At 40.5% G+C, this 21,678-nt stretch overlaps 1 pseudogene across 1 annotated transcript; it reads left to right on the forward strand.

Annotated features, from left to right (window-relative positions):
• Nucleotides 1-1,015: 1,015 nt before the first annotated feature.
• On the forward strand, nucleotides 1,016-21,573 carry AGAP13P (ArfGAP with GTPase domain, ankyrin repeat and PH domain 13, pseudogene; annotated as a pseudogene). The gene is made up of 7 exons (NR_165819.1): nucleotides 1,016-1,214; nucleotides 1,583-1,651; nucleotides 3,944-4,012; nucleotides 6,654-6,688; nucleotides 16,917-16,952; nucleotides 20,248-20,299; nucleotides 20,948-21,573. The product of NR_165819.1 is annotated as an ArfGAP with GTPase domain, ankyrin repeat and PH domain 13, pseudogene (transcript).
• The last annotated feature ends 105 nt before the right edge of the window (nucleotides 21,574-21,678 follow it).

The raw sequence follows: 21,678 nt of genomic DNA on the forward strand, positions 1-21,678 counted from the left end.
CGGGGAGAAAAGGGAGTTGGTAAGTTTCAGCATTTCAGAGCTTGGAGGTGCCAGTTAGGTTTCTATTTTATGGAGAAGGAGGTGGAGGCAGGATGGGTCCTAAGGTGTCATTCAAAACACACAGCCATAACTCTTTATTGAGAGTAGAGCTAGGGCCCCAGGGATTGCTGTGGTCAAGTTGCGGACAAAAATGACCACTCGTTGGAAGACAGGAGAGGAGTGTTTAGTTACAAAAGCAGTCAACAATTCAGGTGTATCTATATTCAGACAGCAAATAAAAGTTGTTCAACTTGGTTGCTAATGGGACCCACTCTACTGAGGCTTTGTATAGAACTCATAGAGGAAGCTGGCTTCAAGGAATGAACTACCCTGTGCTTTTCTTAGGACTAAAATCTCAGGAAGCTGGTGATGAATGAAAACCTTAGTCCCACTGGCACTGCACGAGGGGCCAGGAGAGCAGCAGCATCATAAGCCACAGGGTGGGGCAGCCAAGGCAGGGGCATTCTGAGCTGTTGGGGAGGGGTGGCAGGCAGGGTGGGGCACTGTGAGGTGTCGGGGAGGGCATTGTGAAGTGGGGGGTGGGGCATTGTGTGCCACATGCCTGGGCTCCCACCTGGGGCCAGTGGGCTTCAGTCTGTAGGTGACTACAGAAGGAGAAGGAGCTCCGTCTGTTCTCTCTTCAGGCAGTTGTTGTGTCTCTCAGCGCTTGTTGGGTTCACAACCTATTAAATAAGCCGGCTGGTCTTCACCCTCCCAGACAAGTCAACTCAGGGGAGGCAGCAGGGTGCGGGCCTTGGCCCGCAACCCTAGCCGGGGCCGGGGCCGGGGCCGGGGCCAGGGCTGGTGCCCGGGGCCGCGCTGTGAGGTGGGCAGGCGAGGAGCGGGAAGACCATCTCTGCAAGTGCAGCATAGCCTCGGCCTAGGACAGCGGGAGTGCGTGGCCAAAGCTGTGAGCAGAGGCACAGGTGGTGGCAGACAGTAGAGGCGCCCCATGGGGAACATACTGACCTGTCGTGTGCACCCTAGCGTCAGCCTCGAGTTTGACCAGCAGCAGGGGTCGGTGTGTCCCTCTGAATCTGAGATCTATGAGGCAGGAGCTGAGGACAGGATGGCAGGAGCGCCCATGGCTGCTGCTGTACAGCCTGCTGAGGTGACTGTTGAAGTTGGTGAGGACCTCCACATGCACCAGGTTCGTGACCGGGAGATGCCTGAAGGTGAGGAGGTGATAGGTGCCATCTACCCTCGGTTTGCCTTTGGCTGCTGCTGTCCCCAAGGTTCCCTTTGAGGCATCCCCCACTTCGAGCTCCTTTCTGCTTGTAGCCAGCTTTCCCGGGGGCTGGCCAGGAACAAAACTGGCTCTGCCTTGAATTCCCACCCCTTAGTCTTTCCCCACCGAGTCCAGTCAGTTTCTTTTCGCCTCCCCTCCCAATCGCCCAGTTCTTGCTCTCTCATCTCATTCTCCCAGGCTGGCATGGGGCCATTTATTTATGGCTCTTGTCGAATAAGCAGCAGTTGAATAAATGAGTTGATACATTTTTATAAATGATTACATCTTTTTTCTTTTCTCCCTCTATACATATAGCTTTGGAGTTTAACCTTTCTGCCAATCCAGAGGCAAGCACAATATTCCAGAGGAACTCTCAAACAGATGGTGAGACAACAGTGTCTGTAGCTCTGTTTATTATCCTGTGGGACTTTGTTTAGGCTTCTTTGAGCTATTCTCTTCCTTTTCTCAATAAAAACTCAAATATCCCAACTTTTCAGTACCCATCTTATTTTTTCTTTGTACCTATCCAGATGGTACCTAAGTGAAGGAACCAGGTAAGTGCCTAATTGTTTCCTTTGTTAAAGTAGCCAAATCTCAGGACAGTTCCTATTCAAATATTTGGGGATTTCTTATTTAAAATCAGAATGGAGGTTGCCACGGGAGAGGCTATATGGTATTCTTAATGGGCTGCTTTAAGTCACCTTGATAGAAGCTGCTTAGTTTCTTCTAACTGTAATTTGAACACAGAAGGAAAAAGAAAAAAGGAGAATGCTTAAAATAATTGTGAAAGGTGTGAAATGTCACAGCCGGGGCTGCAGAAAAATGGTTGTGTGTGTGTGTTTGGGGTTTCTCAAAGGAGTTTACCTATGAGGCTCTGATTACTTTAAAATTCTTACTTTAACAGAAAATGTGTCTCCAGATTTATTCTGGTGACTTAACAGACTTTATTTACCTCCTTGTTCTAAAAGAGAGGTGGGGATTGGTTCATGGTCAAAACTTTCAAAAGACATGAAACGTCAACGTAGACTTTTAATGTGTAATATAAAGATTGCAGGTTAAAATGTCAGACCTTCCCTGTTAGAGTGTTTGTTGCCATGGCTCCCCCTTTGTCCCTTCCCCTCCTGACAATAGCATCTTGTTCAAAGATAAGAAAGTTACAGTTTTGGCTGGGCTTGGTGGCTCACGCCTGTAATCCCAGCACTTTGGGAGGCCGTGGCAGGCGGATCACCTGAGGTCAGGAGTTCGAGACCAGCCTGGCCAACATAGTGAAACACTGTCTCTACTAAAAAAGAAAATACAAAAATTAGCTGGGCGTAGTGGCGCATGACTGTAGTTCCAGCTACTCACAAGGCCGAGGCAGGAGAATTGCTTGGACCTAGGAGGTGGAGGTTGCAGTGAGCAGAGATCACGCCAATGCACTCCAGCCTGGGTGACAGAGCGAGACTCCGTCTCACAAAAAAAAAAAGGAAAGAAAGTTGGAGTTTTTTAGTCTCTACACTGCTGGCAGAGGCAGGGGATGGGAGCCGGTAGAAAAGAGAAAACAATTAGTTGGTTTGCCTCTAAAATTTTGCAAAGAGATGAATCTAAGTAAAAGTAATTCTGGGTAATAATATGGTTCTTGAATAAAAACTGAAATTTTCAAAATAGAAAACATTGCATCATAAACATATTAAATCCAGTTGGCTTATTGGTTTCATTTAAATGCCAGAGATTTCATCACTGTAGAGGAAATGTCTTATAGCTCTTCTATTTAAACTTTGGTCGGGCTCTTAATTTTTAAAGAGGTAGGATAATTAAGACTCATTATGAGTGTGACTTTGTAACTTGGAAGTACTATCTTCACATTTCAAGATATTTAAGGATTGCTTTAGAATAAACAAATGCATTATGTGAATTAATTGATTGTACCTTTATACACAAAGCATGTAAGTACTTGTGTAAACTTATACTCTGCTTGGTGATGTTCGGAAAGCCTGATGGATGTTACACACCAGTTAGTAGATGGGTAGTGTTGGATGAGAGCCCAAAAATGGCTCTTTATTGTCATTCTTTAGGATTACAACACAGTTTATGTATGTCTCACTTGGCCCTTTCCAATACAAATAAGGCCTGTGTATGTTCTCCCTATGTATTGCTAATGAAGAAATGAAAACTTAGAGATATCACATGACTATGGAAGACAGCTACTCAAGAGAACTAAGGTTCTGTGTCCTCAGAATGAAATGGAAGTGACAGATATGATGAATTTACTTTTTAAAAATTTTAAAAACTCTAGAATACATCTTATATTTTGCCTATAAAATAGACTGTCTTTTAAAACTTACTGCTATCTTGATTTATTTTATGCAAAGTTGATTTTACACAACTCAAAGCCAAAATTTACCTCTTTTTTTTTTTTTTTTTTTAAATAAAGGAGGGTGTCATTGTGTTACTCATGCTGGCCTCAACTTCCTGACCTGGGTTCAAGTGATTTTCCCATCTCAGCCTCCTGAGTAGCTGGGACTACAAGCATGTGCCATCTTGCCTGGCTCTATCTTATGTCTATACATTCATTTCAATGGATAAGAATCAAAGTAGAGATAGTGAAATAGCCTAAATGCAGCAGTCGAATAAATGAGTTGATAAATTTTTATCAATGATTACATCTTTTTTTCTTTTCTTCCTCTATGCATATAGCTTTGGAGTTTAACCCTTCTGCCAATCCAGAGGCAAGCACAATATTCCAGAGGAACTCTCAAACAGATGGTGAGACGACATTGTTTTTTCCGCCAAGAGAAAGAATAAAATCTCTTGTTTGATCAGGTTATAGAAAGTATTTAGAAAAACTCATATTGGTTTAAATTTTTCACCTTTTCACATGTTCACTTGTCTCATTTGAATATGTGATATACTTTCCTTTAGTTGTTATGATGTTAGTGAAAATGTGTAACCTTTTTGTTTATACATTTTGCCATCTTTTTATCAACACAATTAATTTGTGATGTGATGGAGGAGTCATGGATTTCTCTTTATAATTCTTGGATTTATCTTTATTTATAATTAATGGATTTATCTTTATTTATAATCCCTTTTCCCTTGCTCCAAAAAGTACACTTTAAAGATGAATGATAGAACTTAGGCTTCAGCTTGGTTTTCATTTAAACAACTTAAAAAACATAGTTGTTTATCATCAGGGATTGAATCTGTGATTTGGGCCTCCTCTTACACAGTCCTCTGACCACATTCATTTACCACATCCAAGTTCATGCTACTCAAAAGTTTTAGGTTATTAACTTTTTCATTCGATGTAATGTAAATTTAAACGTGCCCTACTCCTGCTTATTTCCCTTAATGTTATGTTAAATCCTTATTTATTTGCCAACAAGCCATACACAGCCAAGTTTTCCAGTTGACTTAAACAGCAAGAATACAAGTGAGGGTTCTATAATAGTGTGCGAAGTAATGCAGCACAGTAAAACACGGGAGTTTGTAACCTTTGTTTTTATAGTTTGAGTAGACTTTGCCCATCTTGAGTCAGTTATTTCTGGTTAGAATTTGTCTTCATTTTTTACATTACTATAAAGAGATACCTAAGGCTGGGTGATTTATAACAAAAAGAGGTTTAATTGGCTCAAAGATTTTCAGGCTGTACCAACATGGCTTTAACATCTGCTTCTGGTGAGGGCCTCAGCAAACTTACAATCATGATAAAAGGCAAAGGGGAAGCAGGTGGTTCCACACGGTGAAAGAGAGAGGGGAAGGGGGAAGGTACCACACTCTTTTTTTTTTTTTTTTTGAAATGGAGTCTCACTCTGTTGCCCAGGCTGGAGTGCAATGGCACGATCTTGGCTCACTACAACCTCCATCTCCCAGGTTCAAGCAATTCTCCTGCCTCAGCCTCCCGAGTAGTTGGGACTATAGGTGGGCACCATAACACCTGGCTAATTTCTGTATTTTTGGCAGAGACAGGGTTTCACCATGTTGGCCAGGCTGGTCTGAAACTCCTGACCTCAAGTGATCTACCCGCTTCAGCCTCCCAAAGTGCTGGGATTACAGGCTTCAGCCACCGCACCTGGCCAGTACCACAGTCTTTTAAATTACCGTAATGAGAATGTGCTTATTACCATGGGGATGGGACCAAGCCATTCATAAGGAATCACTGCCATTACCCAAACGCCTCCCACTAGGCCCTATCTCCAACATTAAGGGTCACATGTTAACATGAGACTTGGAGGGGCAACATATCCAAAACATATCAGAATTGTATTTCCCAGTTCCTTCCAGAGCCATGGGCTTCTCACACCTAGAGAGCATGGAAGCAGTAAAAGAAAAGCTATTCCATGTCCCTCACTCTTCAGTGGTAGTAACTTTTGCCTACAAGGCCCTCCCAGCATCAAAGGCAGAGGCAGTGTAGGAAACAAAGCATGGCCCAAGTCCCTCTTGGGGCTTTTATTATTCTGGCCTCTTTTTAGGGAAAAAAAAATGATTTTTTTGTGCTGCAGACACCATGTCCAATTAGGTTTGTATACTTATTTTAACATCAAAATTTAGGCCAGGCTCTGTGGCTTACACCTGTAATCCCAACTCTTTGGGAGGTTGAGGTGGGTGGATCACGAGGTTAGGAGATCAAGACCATCCTGGCTAACACAGTGTAACTCTGTCTCTACTAAAAATACAAAAAACAATTAGCTAGGCATGGTGGCACGTGCCTGTGGTCCCAGCTAGTCCAGAGGCTAAGGCTGAAGAATTTCTTGAACCTGGGAGGCAGAGGTTGCAGTGCGCTGAGATCCCGCCACTGCACTCGAGCCTAGGTGACAGAGTGAGACTCCATCTCAAAAAAGAAAACAAATTTAAGATAGGTTACTTTCCAGTTGTGTAAAGACCATTTTTTAATTTTGTTTTGTTTTTAGTGACATATTAGTAGATAACCACTAAGTGTGGTTCAAGATGCTTACAGGGATTCTGTTGCATCTAGAGATAGGTGTCTGGTCAGGAAGTAGTTTTTAGAACTGTTAGCTCTTAGAGTCTGATAATTAAAGTAAGCTATGTGTAAATGCAGAATGAGAGAATACTAATGGATCATGGCTCATATATGCAACAGTTAAACTTTTTATTAGCTAAATTTTTCATCTGGCCTAATTTTTTTGCCCTTTTCTTTTGTACATGAGGATTCTTTCATTTGTATGTAATAGAAACAAAAAGTAAACTAAATGAAAATCTAAGTTTTTAGATTTGACTTATGAAATTAATCATGCCAGATAATTTAAATTATATGTTATTGAAAATTTTTTTTTAATGGAATTTTGTCTCATTTTTCATAGGAGTAATCAGTAAGATGTTAACAACTACTTTTATTTTATGGTATTTGTATCAGAAGTGACCAGTTTTTTTTTTTTTTTATTCTTAGTTGTAGAAATAAGAAGAAGCAACTGTACAAACCATGTAAGTAAACACTCAAATAGTTAAGAAATTGATAGTTTGACATAAAAGGATGTCTCTCTTGATTTCTTTAAATTACAATGTGGACCTGGTGGTGGTAGCATGGACCTCTTTTTGTGGATTTTCTAAATCTCTTCTATTTTCCTGAGTATTAAATTTATCCAGAAAAGTGCTTAGTTTAGCGTGTCCACCTTTTAAAGATTTCTGACATTTAAGTTAAATTTCAATAGTCCGGTTCAAAAGACCTGCCTTAAGGCTGGGCATGGTGGTTAACGTCTGTAATCACAACACTTTAGGAGGCCGAGGCAGGCTGATCATCTGAGGTCAGGAGTTTGAGACAACCCTGACCAACATGGTGAAATTCTGTATCTACTAAAAATACAAAAGTAGCTGGGCGTGGTGGTGCATGCCTGTAATCTCAGCTACTCAGGAGGCTGAGGCAGGAGAATCACTTGAACCCAGGAGGCGGAGGTTGCAGTGAGCCAAGATCGCACCATTGCACTCCAGCCTGGGCGACAGAGCGAAACTCTGTCTCAAAAAAAAAAAAAAAAAAAATTGCCTTAAATATTTAATCTTATTTTTAATGAAAGAACAAAAATAGAATAGCTAAGTTAATTGCCAGCACTGTCTATTGACTTTCTGTCACAGCAGGTAAAAGCATACCTTCCCCGCTACACCATGATCTTATGTTTCTCCCTGTGTTTCTTCCAATTGTAGCACACTTTTTAATTAAATCAGTAATATTTACATGATTATGACTCTGCAAATATTATTCACTGCTAAGTCATATGGTGTTTTCACTGTGCCTCTGCATTCCATGTCCTTCATCCTGTCTCTGAAACAGTTCTGAAATCTGAGCACTTCTGCAATTCTCCTGGATCTTCTTTTTTCCTAGCCTACATTAGTTTATCTATCCAAATATCGTTAAGTAGCCTCTGGGTGCTCTGTTTGCTTTCACATCCATTATTTTTTAGCATGAAGCTAATTTTCTGACTATATTCATTTGCCTGTTTTCTAACAGCTGTTTTCCCCCAAGTATTGTAGCATTTATCACATGCCTTTCAAAGATATTTTCCATCTGCGAAAACACATCTGTTCCTTTTTATGTTTGTGTGGGGGGCAACTTTCTTTGGCCTTTTGTCATCCTAGTTCAATATAGCGTGGGTTTCCCTAGATATGCTCAATGTCTGCTTTTCTGGGCTAACTCTTTAAAGTCTTTTGGTATCTCACGTAACTGCTGTCTTGTGTGGGATCACCTGAGTCCTAGATTCTGTGTTTCCTTCTGTCCTGTTATCGTCTCTAGTTGTACTTGAACACATTTTCCTGTGTGGAGATGTTAAAATCCCTCCTCTTTGATAGAGAGTACACCTCTAGGTTGAATCTAAATGTTGTGGTTCTGAAGACATTTTGCAGTTGTGCTCTTATTACAGTGTTGTTCTTGAATCTATTGCCAGTGTGTGATACGTTATTTACAACCAGGTTTTAGTTATCTGTGGAAGCTTTTTAGAATCTCTCTCTCTAAGGTTCTGAAATTTTATAACAGCTTGTTGGGGATCTTTTCATTTTATTGAGGCTACTAAACCTGCAGACTATCTCTTCTTGAGAATTTTTTTTTATTTTCTCTGTTACTTTTTTACTGATAGTCTTGTTATTCAGATGCTAGGCTGCTTAGACCAATATGCCTGCATTGATTTTTAATTTTTCCCCTTGTATTTTTTTCAGTTTGTCTTTTTATTCTAGTTCTGGGATATTCTGTGACTTTATCCTCTACTATTTCTATTGAATTTTATATTTTTTGAGAGTGTTTTAAGATTTTTTTTTAAAGTTTTGCTCCTGATTTTGACTGGTCCTATCAATTCCTTTTTTCTATTGTTTTGATCTCTTTTCTTGGAGGCTTCCCTCCAATGTGTGGTGGTCCCTGGCCTGCTTTATTTGGAAGCAGGATTTCTGTTAACTGATAGCACTCAGTGTGAGGCCTTAGAAGCCTGACTAGCTTTTCATTTGGGAGACCTCAGTGTATTATCTGGGGATCTTTATTGAAGACATTTCAGTTTCTTCTGAGAAGGATCTCCCAATTTTCTGCCTGGAAAGTAAAAGCAGGCCTGGAAAGGAAAAACAGAGTTAGTGAAGAAAGTTGGAGTTCCATTTTTGGTGTACAGTTTTCTTTATATCTCAGGTTTAAGCCATGGTATCTCTGAGCCAGAAATTCTCAGGTTTGATATATCCAGAGAACACACATCTAAGTTTCTTGTCAGATGGAAGGACAGGTGGACTTGGGGCTCTAGTTAGAGATTTGCAACTGACCTTGCTGGCTTTTTTTTTTTTTTCACATTTTACCCTACTTTCCAAAGTTCCATTTGCCTGTAAGTTCACAACCTGCCTTTAGTTCTGCAAGACAAACTGGCTCGCTTCTGTTCCAGTCACTTTCTGTAGGCACCAAAGTTGTGTTTCTGTGTTATTTACCACTCCTTTATCTACTTTTTATGTCTCAGCATTTATTAAAAATTATCTCTGTCAACCTTCTGTGCTGGTCATGGGTGTAACCTTTATTTTATGACTGATGAGGCTTCCGGAGGGAGACGAAATAAATTTGTGGTCAATCTATTATATTTAATCCAAATTTAGGACCTGTGTTTAAATCAAAATCTAATTTGAGTATAATTAATTATATTAAGCCAGAGAATTTTTTAAATTAATGTATCTATAATAAGCATATTACACTTTTCTCCTAAGGCCTTGTTTAATATTTTCATTCAAAGTTTATCCACTGCCATATACTTCCCATTACTTCACAACATAAATGGAGCTGTTTTCCTGAATGCCCAAAGTGTTAGAAATATTTAAGTTAATTAAGATTTGTTCATTTTTAGCCTGGTCAACATAGCAAGACCTCATGTCTACAAAAAGGTTAAATAAAAAATTAGCCAGGCCTGGTGGCATGCGCCTTTCGTATTACCTACTCAGGAGGCTGAGGCAGAGGATCGCTTGAGCTCAGGAGTTTGAGGCTGCAGTTAACTATAATTGCACCACTGCACTCCAGCCTGGGCAACAAAGGGAGACCCTGTCTCGGAAAAAGGAAAAAAGTTACTAATTCTTTAAAAACCTATCTAAAATTTGTCCTGCCCAAAAGGAGAGTGAAAAATATGAACTTTAGTCTTTGTTTTATTTTATGTTTGCTGAGAAAAATGCTGTACTTTATTTATTTATTTATTATTTCCTTAGGTTTCTGGGGGAACAGGTGGCATTTGGTGACATGACTAAGTTCTTTAGTGATGATTTGTGAGATTTAGGTGCACCCATCACCTGAGCAGTATCCGCTGAACCCAATTTGTAGTCTTTTATCCCTCACCCTCCTCCCAGCCTTTCCCCCAAGTCCCCAAAGTCCATTGTATCATTCTTATGGCTTTGCATCCTCATAGCTCAGCTCCCACGTATGAAAGAGAACATGATATTTGGTTTTCCATGCTGAGTTATTTCACTTAGAATAATAGTCTTACTTCCATCCAGGTTGCTGGGAATGCCATGAATTTATTCCTTATTATGGCTGAGGTGGTATTCCTCATATATATATATATGTATGTATATCACGGTTTCTTTATCCACTCATTGATTGATGGGCATTTGGGCTGGTTCCATATTTTTGTAATTGTAATTTGTTTGAGTTCCTCATAGATTCTGGATAATAGCCCTTTGTCAGATGTATAGACTGTGAAGATTTCCTCCCACTCTGTGGTTGTCTGTATACTCTGCTGATTGTTCCTTTTCCTGTGCAGAAGCTCTTTAGTTAAGTCTCACCTATTTGTTTCTGTTGCATTTGCTTTTGTGTTCTTGGTCATGAAGTCTTTGCCTAAGCCAGTGTCTAGATGGGTTTTTCCAATGTTATCTTCTAGAACTTTTATGATTTCAGGTCATAGATTTATGTCCTTGATCCATCTTGAGTTGATTTTTGTGTAAGCTGAGAGTTGAGGATCCAGTTTCATTCTCCCGCATGTGGCTTGCCAATTATCCCAGCACCATTTGTTGAATAGGGTTTACTTTCTTCACTTTATGTTTTAGGTGGCTTTGTTGAAAATCAGTTGGCTATAGGTATTTGAGTTTATTTCTGGGTTCTCTATTCTGTTCCATTGGTGTATGTGCCTATTTTTATATCAGTACCATGCTATTTTGGCGACTATGGCCTTATAGTATAGTTTGAAATCAGGTAATGTCATGCCTCCAGATTTGTTGTTTTTGCTTAGTTTTGTTTTGGCTATACCGGTTCTTGTTTGGTCCATATAAATTTCAGGATTGTTTTTTCTAGTTCTGTGAAGAAGGATGGTGGTATTTTGATGGGAGTTGCATTGAATTTGTAGATTGCTTTTGGCAGTATGGTCATTTTCACAATATTCATTCTACCCATTCATGAGCATGGGGTGTCTTTCCATTTGTTTGTGTCCATGACTTCATTCAGCAACGTTTTGTAGTTCCCAACGGCATATCAAAAAATAATCCGGCCAGGCACGGTGGCTCACACCTGTAATCCCAGCACTTTGGGAGGCTGAGGCGGACAGATCATGAGGTCAGGAGTTCGAGACCAGCCTGGCCAACATGGTGAAGTCCCATCTCTACTAAAAATACAAAAGTTAGCCGGGTGTGGTGGCACTCACCTGTAATCCCATCTACTCAGGTGGCTGAGGCAGGAGAATCGCTTGAACCTCGGAGGCAGAGGTTGCAGTGAGCCAAGATCACCGCACTGCATATTCCAGCCTGGGCAACAGAGCGAGACTCCATCTCAAAAAAAAAAAAAAGATAATCCACCATGATCAAATGGGTTTCATACCAGGGATGCAGGGATGGATTAACATACACAAGTCAATAAATGTGATACACCACATAAACAGAATTAAAAACAAAAAATCACATGATCATCTAAACAGATGCAGAAAAAGCATTTGACAAGATGCAGCATCCTTTTATGATTAAAACCCTCAGCAAAATCAGCATACAAGGGTCACAGCTCAATATAATAAAAGCCATCTATGACAAACCCACAACCAACATGATACTGAAAGGGGGAAAAGTTGAAAGCATTCCCCCCGAGAACTGGAACAAGACAAGGATGCCCACTCTCACCACTTGTATTCAACATACTACTGGAAGGCCTAGCCAGAGCAATCACACAAGAGAAAACAATAAAAGGCATGCAGATCAGTAAAGAGGAAGTCAAACTGTTGCTGTTTGATGATGATATGATCATATACCTAGGAAACCCTAAAGACTCCTCCAAAAAGCTCCTAGAACTGATAAATGAATTCAACAAAGTTTCAGGAGACAAAATTAATGTACACAAATCAGTAGCTCTGTTATACCCCAGAAGCGACCAAGCTTAGAATCAAACCAAGAACTCAACCCCTTTTCTGACAGCTGCAAAACTAAACTAAACTAAACTAAAATACTTGGGAATAGACCTAACCAAGGAGGTGAAACATGTCTACAAGGAAAACAACTTTAGTATTTTTAATGGGTTAAAATGAGAGGCAGCAGGTACAGCAGAAGAAGTCAGTGCGTGGGCATCCGCATCCAATGGGTACTGCACCTTTGATGGTAAGGCTTTGGTTTTGACTTACTAAATTACTAGGTACGATTATTTTCTAGTTTTTGTCATTAAACCTTAAAACTACTAAGTAACCCCTTCCATTTCTTGTTAAATATTGTAAAATTTCATACTCTCATTTATGCTGCCTGACGTTAGAGTATTTGTTTCTATTTTGTGACTACCTTAAATAATACCTATAAAGAGTAAACTGTTAGTAGTGTTTTTGCTGTAATTAAATGTAGTAAGACTTACCTTCCAAATGATAACTGAATTGTCAAACACTTGTCGAAGTTTTGGATTTACTCAAAATTCTATGCTCAGCAGCTGGAGGTAGGAAGAGTAAGGGCCCTCCCTTACTCTTATGGAGAGGCATACTTTCTCACAAGGGGAATACTCTGCAGGAATTAGCATCTTGTAAGCAGTGGTGAATTCAACTAATTAGTGTATAAAAATACATTTTTTGGTGTGGCTGCCGACAAAGAGATCCAAGAGGGTAGATGGAGTCGAGCTTGCTGAAGCAAGGAAAGAGAAAAGCAGTATTCTAGGCAGAGAGCAGGGGTAGAGCAGGAAAATGGCTAGGTGCAGGTCAGATGATTTATAGAATGCAATTGATCAAGTTTTGAAGTGAATGCAAAGTATTCTCCGAGAGTCTCATTTGAGTCATGTCTTGGCAGTCTTATTTAAACATGAAGTGAAAGTTAGATTTTTTAAGTTGTCATTTGTTTTCAGGGTGTGAGAGAATATTTAAGTGATACTCTTTTTATCCTCCACATAAGAAAATAGGACTAGAGAAACCTATGGCTTCCTCACTTGTTGGTGGCCTAGCAGCCCTGGCACACAGAGCCTCTGAATCTGAAACACTTCTTTTGTAACAATATCACCTGAAATAATACATTTAGGATTAGTAATTTAGTAAATGCATTAGTCTTGTATTCACTGCAATAAAATGCTCTTGTAGCAGGATTATTTAATACATTACATTTTATCGTAGTAAATAAATAATAGAAGGGCTGGGCGCCGTGGCTCACGCCTGTAATCCCAGTACTTTGGGAGGCTGAGGCAGGCAGATCGCGAGGTGAGGAGATCGAGACCATCCTGGCTAACACGGTGAAACCCCGTCTCTACTAAAAATACAAAAAGTTAGCCGGGCATGGTGGTGGGCGCCTGTAGTCCCAGCTACTCAGGAGGCTGAGTCAGGAGAATGGCGTGAACCCGGGAGGCGGAGCTTGCAGTGAGCCGAGATCGCGCCACTGCACTCCAGCCTGGGCGACAGAGCGAGACTCCGTCTCAAAAATAAATAAATAAATTAATTAATTAATAGAAATTCTCAGCTGCTTTTTATTGCTGCAGAAAAAAAAATGAAATCTTATTTTAAACTTTTCTTTTTTTTTTTTTTTTTTTTTTTTTTTTTGAGACGGAGTCTCACTTTGTCTGCCGGCCTGGAGTGCAGTGGCGCGAACTCGGCTCACTGCAAGCTCCGCCTCCTGGGTTCACCCCATTCTCCTGTTTCAGCCTCTCAAGTAGCTGGGACTACAGGGGCCTGCTACCACGCCCGGCTAATTTTTTGTATTTTTAGTAGAGACGGGGTTTCACCATGTTAGCCAGGATGGTCTCGATCTCTTGACCTCGTGATCTGCCCGCCTCCACCTCCCAAAGTGCTAGGATTACAGGTGTGAGCCACCGCGCCCCGCGAAGCAGACTTTTCCCATTATTTTTAACGGTAATTCATAAAATCCTTGTTAGGTTTGATGACAGGTACCATATTAAGGGCAGCATTTTATAACCCATATCTTAAACATCATCTCTGGAAGTTGAGAGCCTCCAATGGGTTTTCTATAGAGTGCACATGATACCACACTCAGGCAGTTCATGGAGTGTAAGACATATCTTAGTGCTTTGTCATTTGACATTTTAACTGAGAAAATAATACACTTTCATAAGTTTGACTTACACTTCCCTTCCCCTTCAGGTATCTACTGTGCGTTTCAGTCAACAATACAGCTTGTGTTCGACAATATTCCTTGATGACAGCACAGCCATCCAGCATTATCTTACAATGACAATAATATCATGAGTACAACTATGCTGCCGAGGGACAGATTCCTTTATTCTAAAATTATTTCAGTCATTTGGTTGTCCTTTTCAGCAATCAGTTTAAGAAATTGGAGTCAACCATATATTGATATCCAGATTCTGAATATTAAGTATCAGTTTCTCTTTTAATCTTAGACGTCGTGGTGGAAGGAAAAATCAGTTAGCAAAGAAGCAATCCCAGAAACAATGTATCTTTTTGATGCCTTTATGCCTTTAGACAATGTTGAACACAGTGAGAAGGATAGGTTCCCTTTATTGAATGTTTTTTGTGGAAACTTAGTTTTTCAATGCATCATAGGCCTAAATCAGTGTGCACTACTTTGGACATTATCCTTGGAGGAAGGAACAGCTTTTCTTCTTCTGGCACCACAGTGTATCTGCATTTGAATTTCTCCCATTGTGCATGAGCACCTCTTGGGCCACAAAGGTGCGCTTTGAGAGCACCCTGAGATGAAGTTTATTTTAAAAGGAACAACAACCAACACCACCACCAGCTCCACAGGGGCTGTCCAGTGTACATTATTCTCATCTCCTTGGGTTATTAGTCTTGATTTTTAGAACACAGTTTGGAAAGTGCTAATTTAGAATATTAATGTCTTTATCTTTAATTTAACTTTTCATTCTGTACACATAACTAGCTTATAAACAATTTTGTTTCAAATGCACTAGCCTTTTTAACTAATTCAATTGTCAATAACTTTTACTTCAATTAAAAGTGGAAAGTTTACACTCATAATAATGTCACTTTCCTCCCTCCCTTTTAACAATAGTTGAGAGGAAATTGTGTTTCGAACAAAAACTGGACTCAAACTCTGTCTCAAGTCCTGAGCTTTGGGACCTATTGAGTAATCACTAAATGTCTGTAGTCAGCTAAGTCTCTTAAATCTCTGAGCACACATACACAAAAATTACTTTGACTAGAGTCCCTGGCTTCTTCTGAGTTCCAAAGATTTTCATATGTTAGCATATAATTCAAAAGCAGCTTTGAAGATTAATTTTGCTGAAACAAATTTCGTGCTTTTTTCCTCATTATTCTACTTTTTAGAAGTCTACTTTTGAGAGTATAGTAAGTTTTAATTTGCCACCAGCAAGTTTGAGAAATGATCATTTGGTGTATTCACTATTGGTGAAATAAAGTTATTGAACAAATTAATAGGGCAAATTGGCTTCAAGAAGATATTTTGAAAAATGTTTTATCATGAATCAGTAGTGCACTGTTGTCAGTGGGATAGGTGGAACTCGCTGAGATCACTTATGCAAGGTTTTTTTCAAAATGCAAGTCTGCAAACACATGTATCTTCCCATCTCCACTTTCCCTCTATCTCTAGGCACTGAGAAGCCTTTTAGGAAAATCGGGATGGATGTGAGGCATCTTTCTGTGAAGAAAAGCATCCCAGAAGATTCTGATTTTCACCCCAGCTCAGTCATTCCAAACTTTGCTGCTGATTGAAATCACCTGGGAAACGTTTACTAAGAACCTTGATGCCCAAAGCCATACCCAATACTAATTAAATTAAAATGTCTCGTGGAAGATGAGGCAGATATTAAAGCTTCTCAGGTGATTTTAATGTGCAGCAAAGTTTGAGAGCCACTGCTTAATTTGAGTTTAGGATGAGAAACTGCTCCTATTTGGTGGGACCTTGGGCAAGTCAGTTTTAAGGTCTGTTTCCCTGATCTGTAAAATGAGTGTTGAATTAAATGTCACATAAGGTCATTGGTCCTTTCCAGCATGTAACTTTAAATTCTGTGATTTTAAAATTATTTCAGAGATGAAAACTACTTGAAGCACTATAGACATATCCATCTTACCTGCTGATGTTACAGGCTTTTTAAAAAGTGCTAATATTGTGTAGACCTATTAGTAGAATTGAGATTTGCCTTCCCTCAGTTGTTTTGAGCCTCACTCTACAAAATTAGCTGGGTGTGGTGGCACATGCCTGTAATCCCAGCCACTTGGGAGGCTGAGGCAGGAGAATCTCTTGAACCTGGGAGGCAGAGGTTGTGGTGAGCCGAGATCACACCATTGCACTCCAGCCTGGGCAACAAGAGCGAAACTCCACCCACCGCCCCCCTCCAAAAAAAAATTATCTGGGCATAGTGGCACAAACTTGTAGTCCCAGCTTCTTGGGAGGCTGAGGCATGAGAATCGCTTGAACCTGGGTGGTGGAGGTTGTGAGGAGTCAAGATGGCACCACTGCAATCCAGTCTGAGCAAGAGAGACAGACTCTGGGTCAAAAAATAAATAAATACATAAAATAAATCGCATGGGACGAAAGGTTTCGTGGGTAGAAAAGCATATAACAAGGAAATCTGTTATTATTTATATATTGTAATCACCAACAGAAACGCGTCTTCTAACGGCATATTTCCTTGCATTTTGGTTCTCATATTTTTGTAAAAAACAAAGAAATGAAAACAAAGTGCCCTTATGGTACTGTTCTGAACTAGAAGATTTGAATTTCAGGGCCACTAGGAGAGTTTCCTCTGCCCCCCTTTTAAAAAATGTCTTCAGGCCTAACAAATGTTAACATCTATTGTTATGAATTTTTTTTCCTTCCACAGTGTGACCTTGGAGATACCTCATCATATCACACAAAGGTGAGCTTTTTAGAAACCTGTCTTGTTATTCTAGCTAAGTACTTTGCAAGATATCAAGCTCAGTGTTAGGTCACAGCTCTAGACATCATAAGCTGTATTGTGCCTACTAAAATATCGAAGCAAATTATTTGTATTTTCTTTGTTCCTTAAGACTCTCATAATTCTTAAATGATTGAGAATCTCAAAGAGTATGTGTTTATATTGATTATATTGATATTTAGTGTGGTAGAATTATACAATTGAAATTTTTTCAAAATCTATTTTTAGTTTAGATTTCACAGCCTTACCACTGTTGATATTATGGGCTAGATAATGCTTTGTTGTGAGGACTGTCTTGTGCATTGCAGAGAGTTTAGCAGTATTCATGGCCTCTACCAACTAGATATCAGTAGTAACCCATGACCCAGGTTATAACAACAGAAAATATTCCTTGAGAACAGTATTGTTAACAGAATTTTTTCATTGAAAAATAACTTTTCTACAACAAAAAGTTGAGTAAAAAGTGCGTCATGTATTTATATTATTTAAAGTCTCTCATGTTGAGCTTAATAGGAGACAAATGGATTCTCTAGAGCTTTCTTTGCAATTTGCTTTAAAGCAGCAATAAGAGGTTGGGCACGGTGGCTCACGCCTGTAATCCCAGCACTTTGGGAGGCTGAGGCGGGCAGATCGCAAGGTCAGGAGATCGAGACCATCCTGGCTAACACAGCGAAGCCCCGTCTCTACTAAAATTACAAAAACTTGGCTGGGCATGATGGCACGCACCTGTAGTCCCACCTATTCTGGAGGCTGAGGCAGGAGAACCGCTTGAACTTGGGAGGCGGAGGTTGCAGAGAGCTGAGATGGTGCCATTGCACTGCAGCCTGGGTGACAGAGCAAGACTCTGTCTAAACAAACAAACAAAAAAGCAATAAGCTGGTGGGGCGCAGTGGTTCACACCTGTAATCCCAGCATTTTGGGAGGCCGAGGTGGGTGGATCACTTGAGGTCAGGAGTTTGAGACCAGCCCGACCAACATGGTAAAACCCGCCTCTACTGAAAGTACAAAAAATGGCTGGGCGTGGTGGTGCATGCCTGTAGTCCCAGTTACTTGGGAGGCTGAGGCAGGAGAATCGCTTGAGCCTGGGAGGTGGAGGTTGCAGTGAGCCGAGATCTCGCCTTTGCACCCCAGCCTGGGTGACAGAGAGAGACTCTGTCTCAAAAAAAGAAAAAAAGAAGCAATAAGATGACCTAACCTCATGCAAATATGTAGTTAGTAGAAGGTGTATTTTAAAAGTTTTCAGACGGTTGTGGGTATTTGTTAACACTAAATCAAAACTTCACAAGTGGTGGTTTCTTAAATTAGTTACGGTGGCATTTTACATATTAATAAATTTATTCCATCAGTACTCATTGATCTTTCTTGCACAGTAAATGGATCTTTTGCTCACTACTTGCATTTATAATATCATGCATTAGTTACTTGGAATATATTGGTTTATGTTTTATTGTGTCAAAAATCACTTTCAGTTTAACCACCAATCTTACTTTAACACACCTTTAAGTATTGAAAAGCTGCCAAGCCTACAGTAGAAGGAACAAGTTTGTCAAAGTCCACAGGAAAGCTTAAATTTTATCATTGGGAACAAATACGTATTTCCCTTGAAGTGACAACCTCTCACTTCATTTATTTTTGAGAATGATAGTTGAACTGGTTTTTTAGACCGAGTTTCACTCTGTCACTTGGCTGGAGTGCATTGGCATGATCTCAGCTCAAGCAATCCTCTCACCTCAGGTTCCTTTGTAGCTGGGACCACAGATGTGTGGCACCACGCCAGGCTAATTTTCTTATATGTTTGACAGTGACAGGGTTTCGTTATGTTGCCTAGGCTGGTCTCGAACTCCTGAAGGAGCTCAAGCCATCTGCCTGCTTTGGCCTCTCAAAGTGCTGGGATTTTACAGGCGTGAGCCACTGCGCTGGCCCAGTTGTACTTTTAAATAAAAATGATGTTCTGTGAAAAAAGTGATTTTTCAGTTCACAGTTAAATCACGGATTCTTTAAAAACAAACAAAAAAAGCGCTTCTGGTTAACTTTCCACTTATTCAGAATATTAGAGACATGTCAAGATTTAACAACATTAATTTTTACTGCTTCATCAAAGACATTCTTAAGAAATTCAGGCTATGTTTTTTACCTGTAGGGGACAGTGAAGAATAGAATGACTACTAATGTAATTGGTACCACTGCCTTGATTTATGCTGAGAAACCAGCCATTGTACCCACTTTTGCTTTTATATAATCATGGCAAGTGTCAATGAAAAAGCAGGCAATGACTTTGTATTACTTTCACAAATTTTTAAAATTTTTCATCAGCTTTCTCAGGTTTAATTAGTATGATTCAGAACAGTGTTGGCCAGGCACAGTGGCTCAGGCCTGTAATCCCAGCACTTTGGGAGGCCGAGGCAAGCGGATCACCTGAGGTTAGGAGTTCAAGACCAGCCTGGCCAACATGGTGAAACCACATCTCTACTAAAAATACAAAACTTAGCCAGGAGTGGTGGCAGGTGCCTGTAATCCCTGCTACTTGGGAGGCTGGGGTAGGAGAATCACTTGAACCTGGGAGGCGAAGGTTGCCATGAGCCGAGATCACACCATTGCACTCCAGCCTGGGCAATAAGAGTAAAACTTGGTCTCAAAAAAAAAAAAAAAAGAACAGTTATGACCTCTTAGGCCTTCTGGAAGGGGTCTTCGGGATCCCGAGAGGTCCACACAGCACATTTGGAGAACCACTGGTTTATACACAGGCACAATGCATTAGTTTTACAAAGTTTAAAGTTCATCAAAGACTGGCCTCTTAAAAAGGCAGATGAGTTTGTCATTCAAACAACAGAAAGTACATAAATACATCATGAGAGTATACTACAGAGAACTAAAGAGAAAGGAAGCTAGGAAATCTGAATCACATTTACATTTATTAAAGTTTACTACTACTGCTTTGTAGAACATTCTTGTGTTTCAATGTGTGGTTAGAAGAGTGAAAAGATGTTTGGTTTATTGCCATGGCCTGTTAGGGAGAGTCAATACTCACGGGCATTTCTGACTGGTTATCATATAAAAGACTTCACGGTACAGGCCATGATGTGCTGAGAAAGAAGAAGTCAGGAAACCCTCTGCAAGTCAGGATCCAAGAGAAGAATTCGTAAAAACTGCTTTGGTAAAGTAAACACCAAAGCACACAGGAGGCAGTATTTTACTCAACAAATATTATACTAAGATATTAACAGTTTTTGAAGTAATGCGCTTTCTTATTTTATAGAGATGCAGATAGATCTTTGAGCATACCTGATGAACAGTTACACTCATTTGCGGTAAGTGGCACTTTTATTGAGGTTGTATTTTCATCGTACACTTGTATCTGTTTCATGCTGAAGTCAAAGCCATCTTTTTTTAAATCTTCCCCATTTCATGTTGCATTTAGTCATCTTAAGTGTTGTAAAAAGAATGTGCTGGAGTAAGAACTGATCTGCAGCTCTGTTTAGTTAGTGAGCTAGTATGAGTAAATATACTATCCAAACAACAGAAAATGTATCTTTTTTTTTTTTTTTTTTTTTTTTTTTTTTTTTTATGGACTCTCTTTCTGTAGCCCAGGCTGGAGTGCAATCGCGCGATCTTGGCTCACTGCAGGCTCTGCCTCCCAGGTCCCTGTTCAAGCAATTCTCCTGCCTCAGCCTCCCGAGTAACTGGAATTACAGGCATGTGCCACCATGCCCAGCTAATTTTTTTTTCTTTTTTTTTTTTTGTAAAGACAGGGTTTCACCATGTTGGCCAGGATGGTCTTGAACTCCTGACCTCGTGATCCACCCACCTTGGCCTCCCAAAGTGCTGTGATTACAGGTGTGAGCCACCATGCCTGGCCCAGAAAATGTATCTTTTTAAAAGGTAATTGTGAGCTGTCTATAGGACCCTGCAAGCCACTACCCAATTTTTGAAGCCATTCCTCCTTCTGTTCCACACAGGTTTCCACCGTGCACATTATGAAGAAAAGAAATGGAGGTGGGAGTTTAAATAACTATTCCTCCTCCATTCCACCGACTCCCAGCACCAGCCAGGAGGACCCTCAGTTCAGTGTTCCTCCCACTGCCAACACACCCACGCCCGTTTGCAAGCGGTCCATGCGCTGGTCCAACCTGTTTACATCTGAGAAAGGGAGTGACCCAGACAAAGAGAGGAAAGCCCCGGAGAATCATGCTGACACCATCGGGAGCGGCAGAGCCATCCCCATTAAACAGGGCATGCTCTTAAAGCGAAGTGGGAAATGGCTGAAGACATGGAAAAAGAAATACGTCACCCTGTGTTCCAATGGCGTGCTCACCTATTATTCAAGCTTAGGTGATTATATGAAGAATATTCATAAAAAAGAGATTGACCTTCAGACATCTACCATCAAAGTCCCAGGAAAGTGGCCATCCCTAGCCACATCGGCCTGCGCACCCATCTCCAGCTCTAAAAGCAATGGCCTATCCAAGGACATGGACATCGGGCTGGGTGACTCCATATGCTTCAGCCCCAGTATCTCCAGCACCACCAGCCCCAAGCTCAACCCACCCCCCTCCCCTCATGCCAATAAAAAGAAACACCTAAAGAAGAAAAGCACCAACAACTTTATGATTGTGTCTGCCACTGGCCAAACGTGGCACTTTGAAGCCACGACGTATGAGGAGCGGGATGCATGGGTCCAAGCCATCCA

The sequence above is a fragment of the Homo sapiens genome, chromosome 10, assembly GCF_000001405.40.
Source record: "Homo sapiens chromosome 10, GRCh38.p14 Primary Assembly".
NCBI lineage: Eukaryota > Metazoa > Chordata > Mammalia > Primates > Hominidae > Homo > Homo sapiens.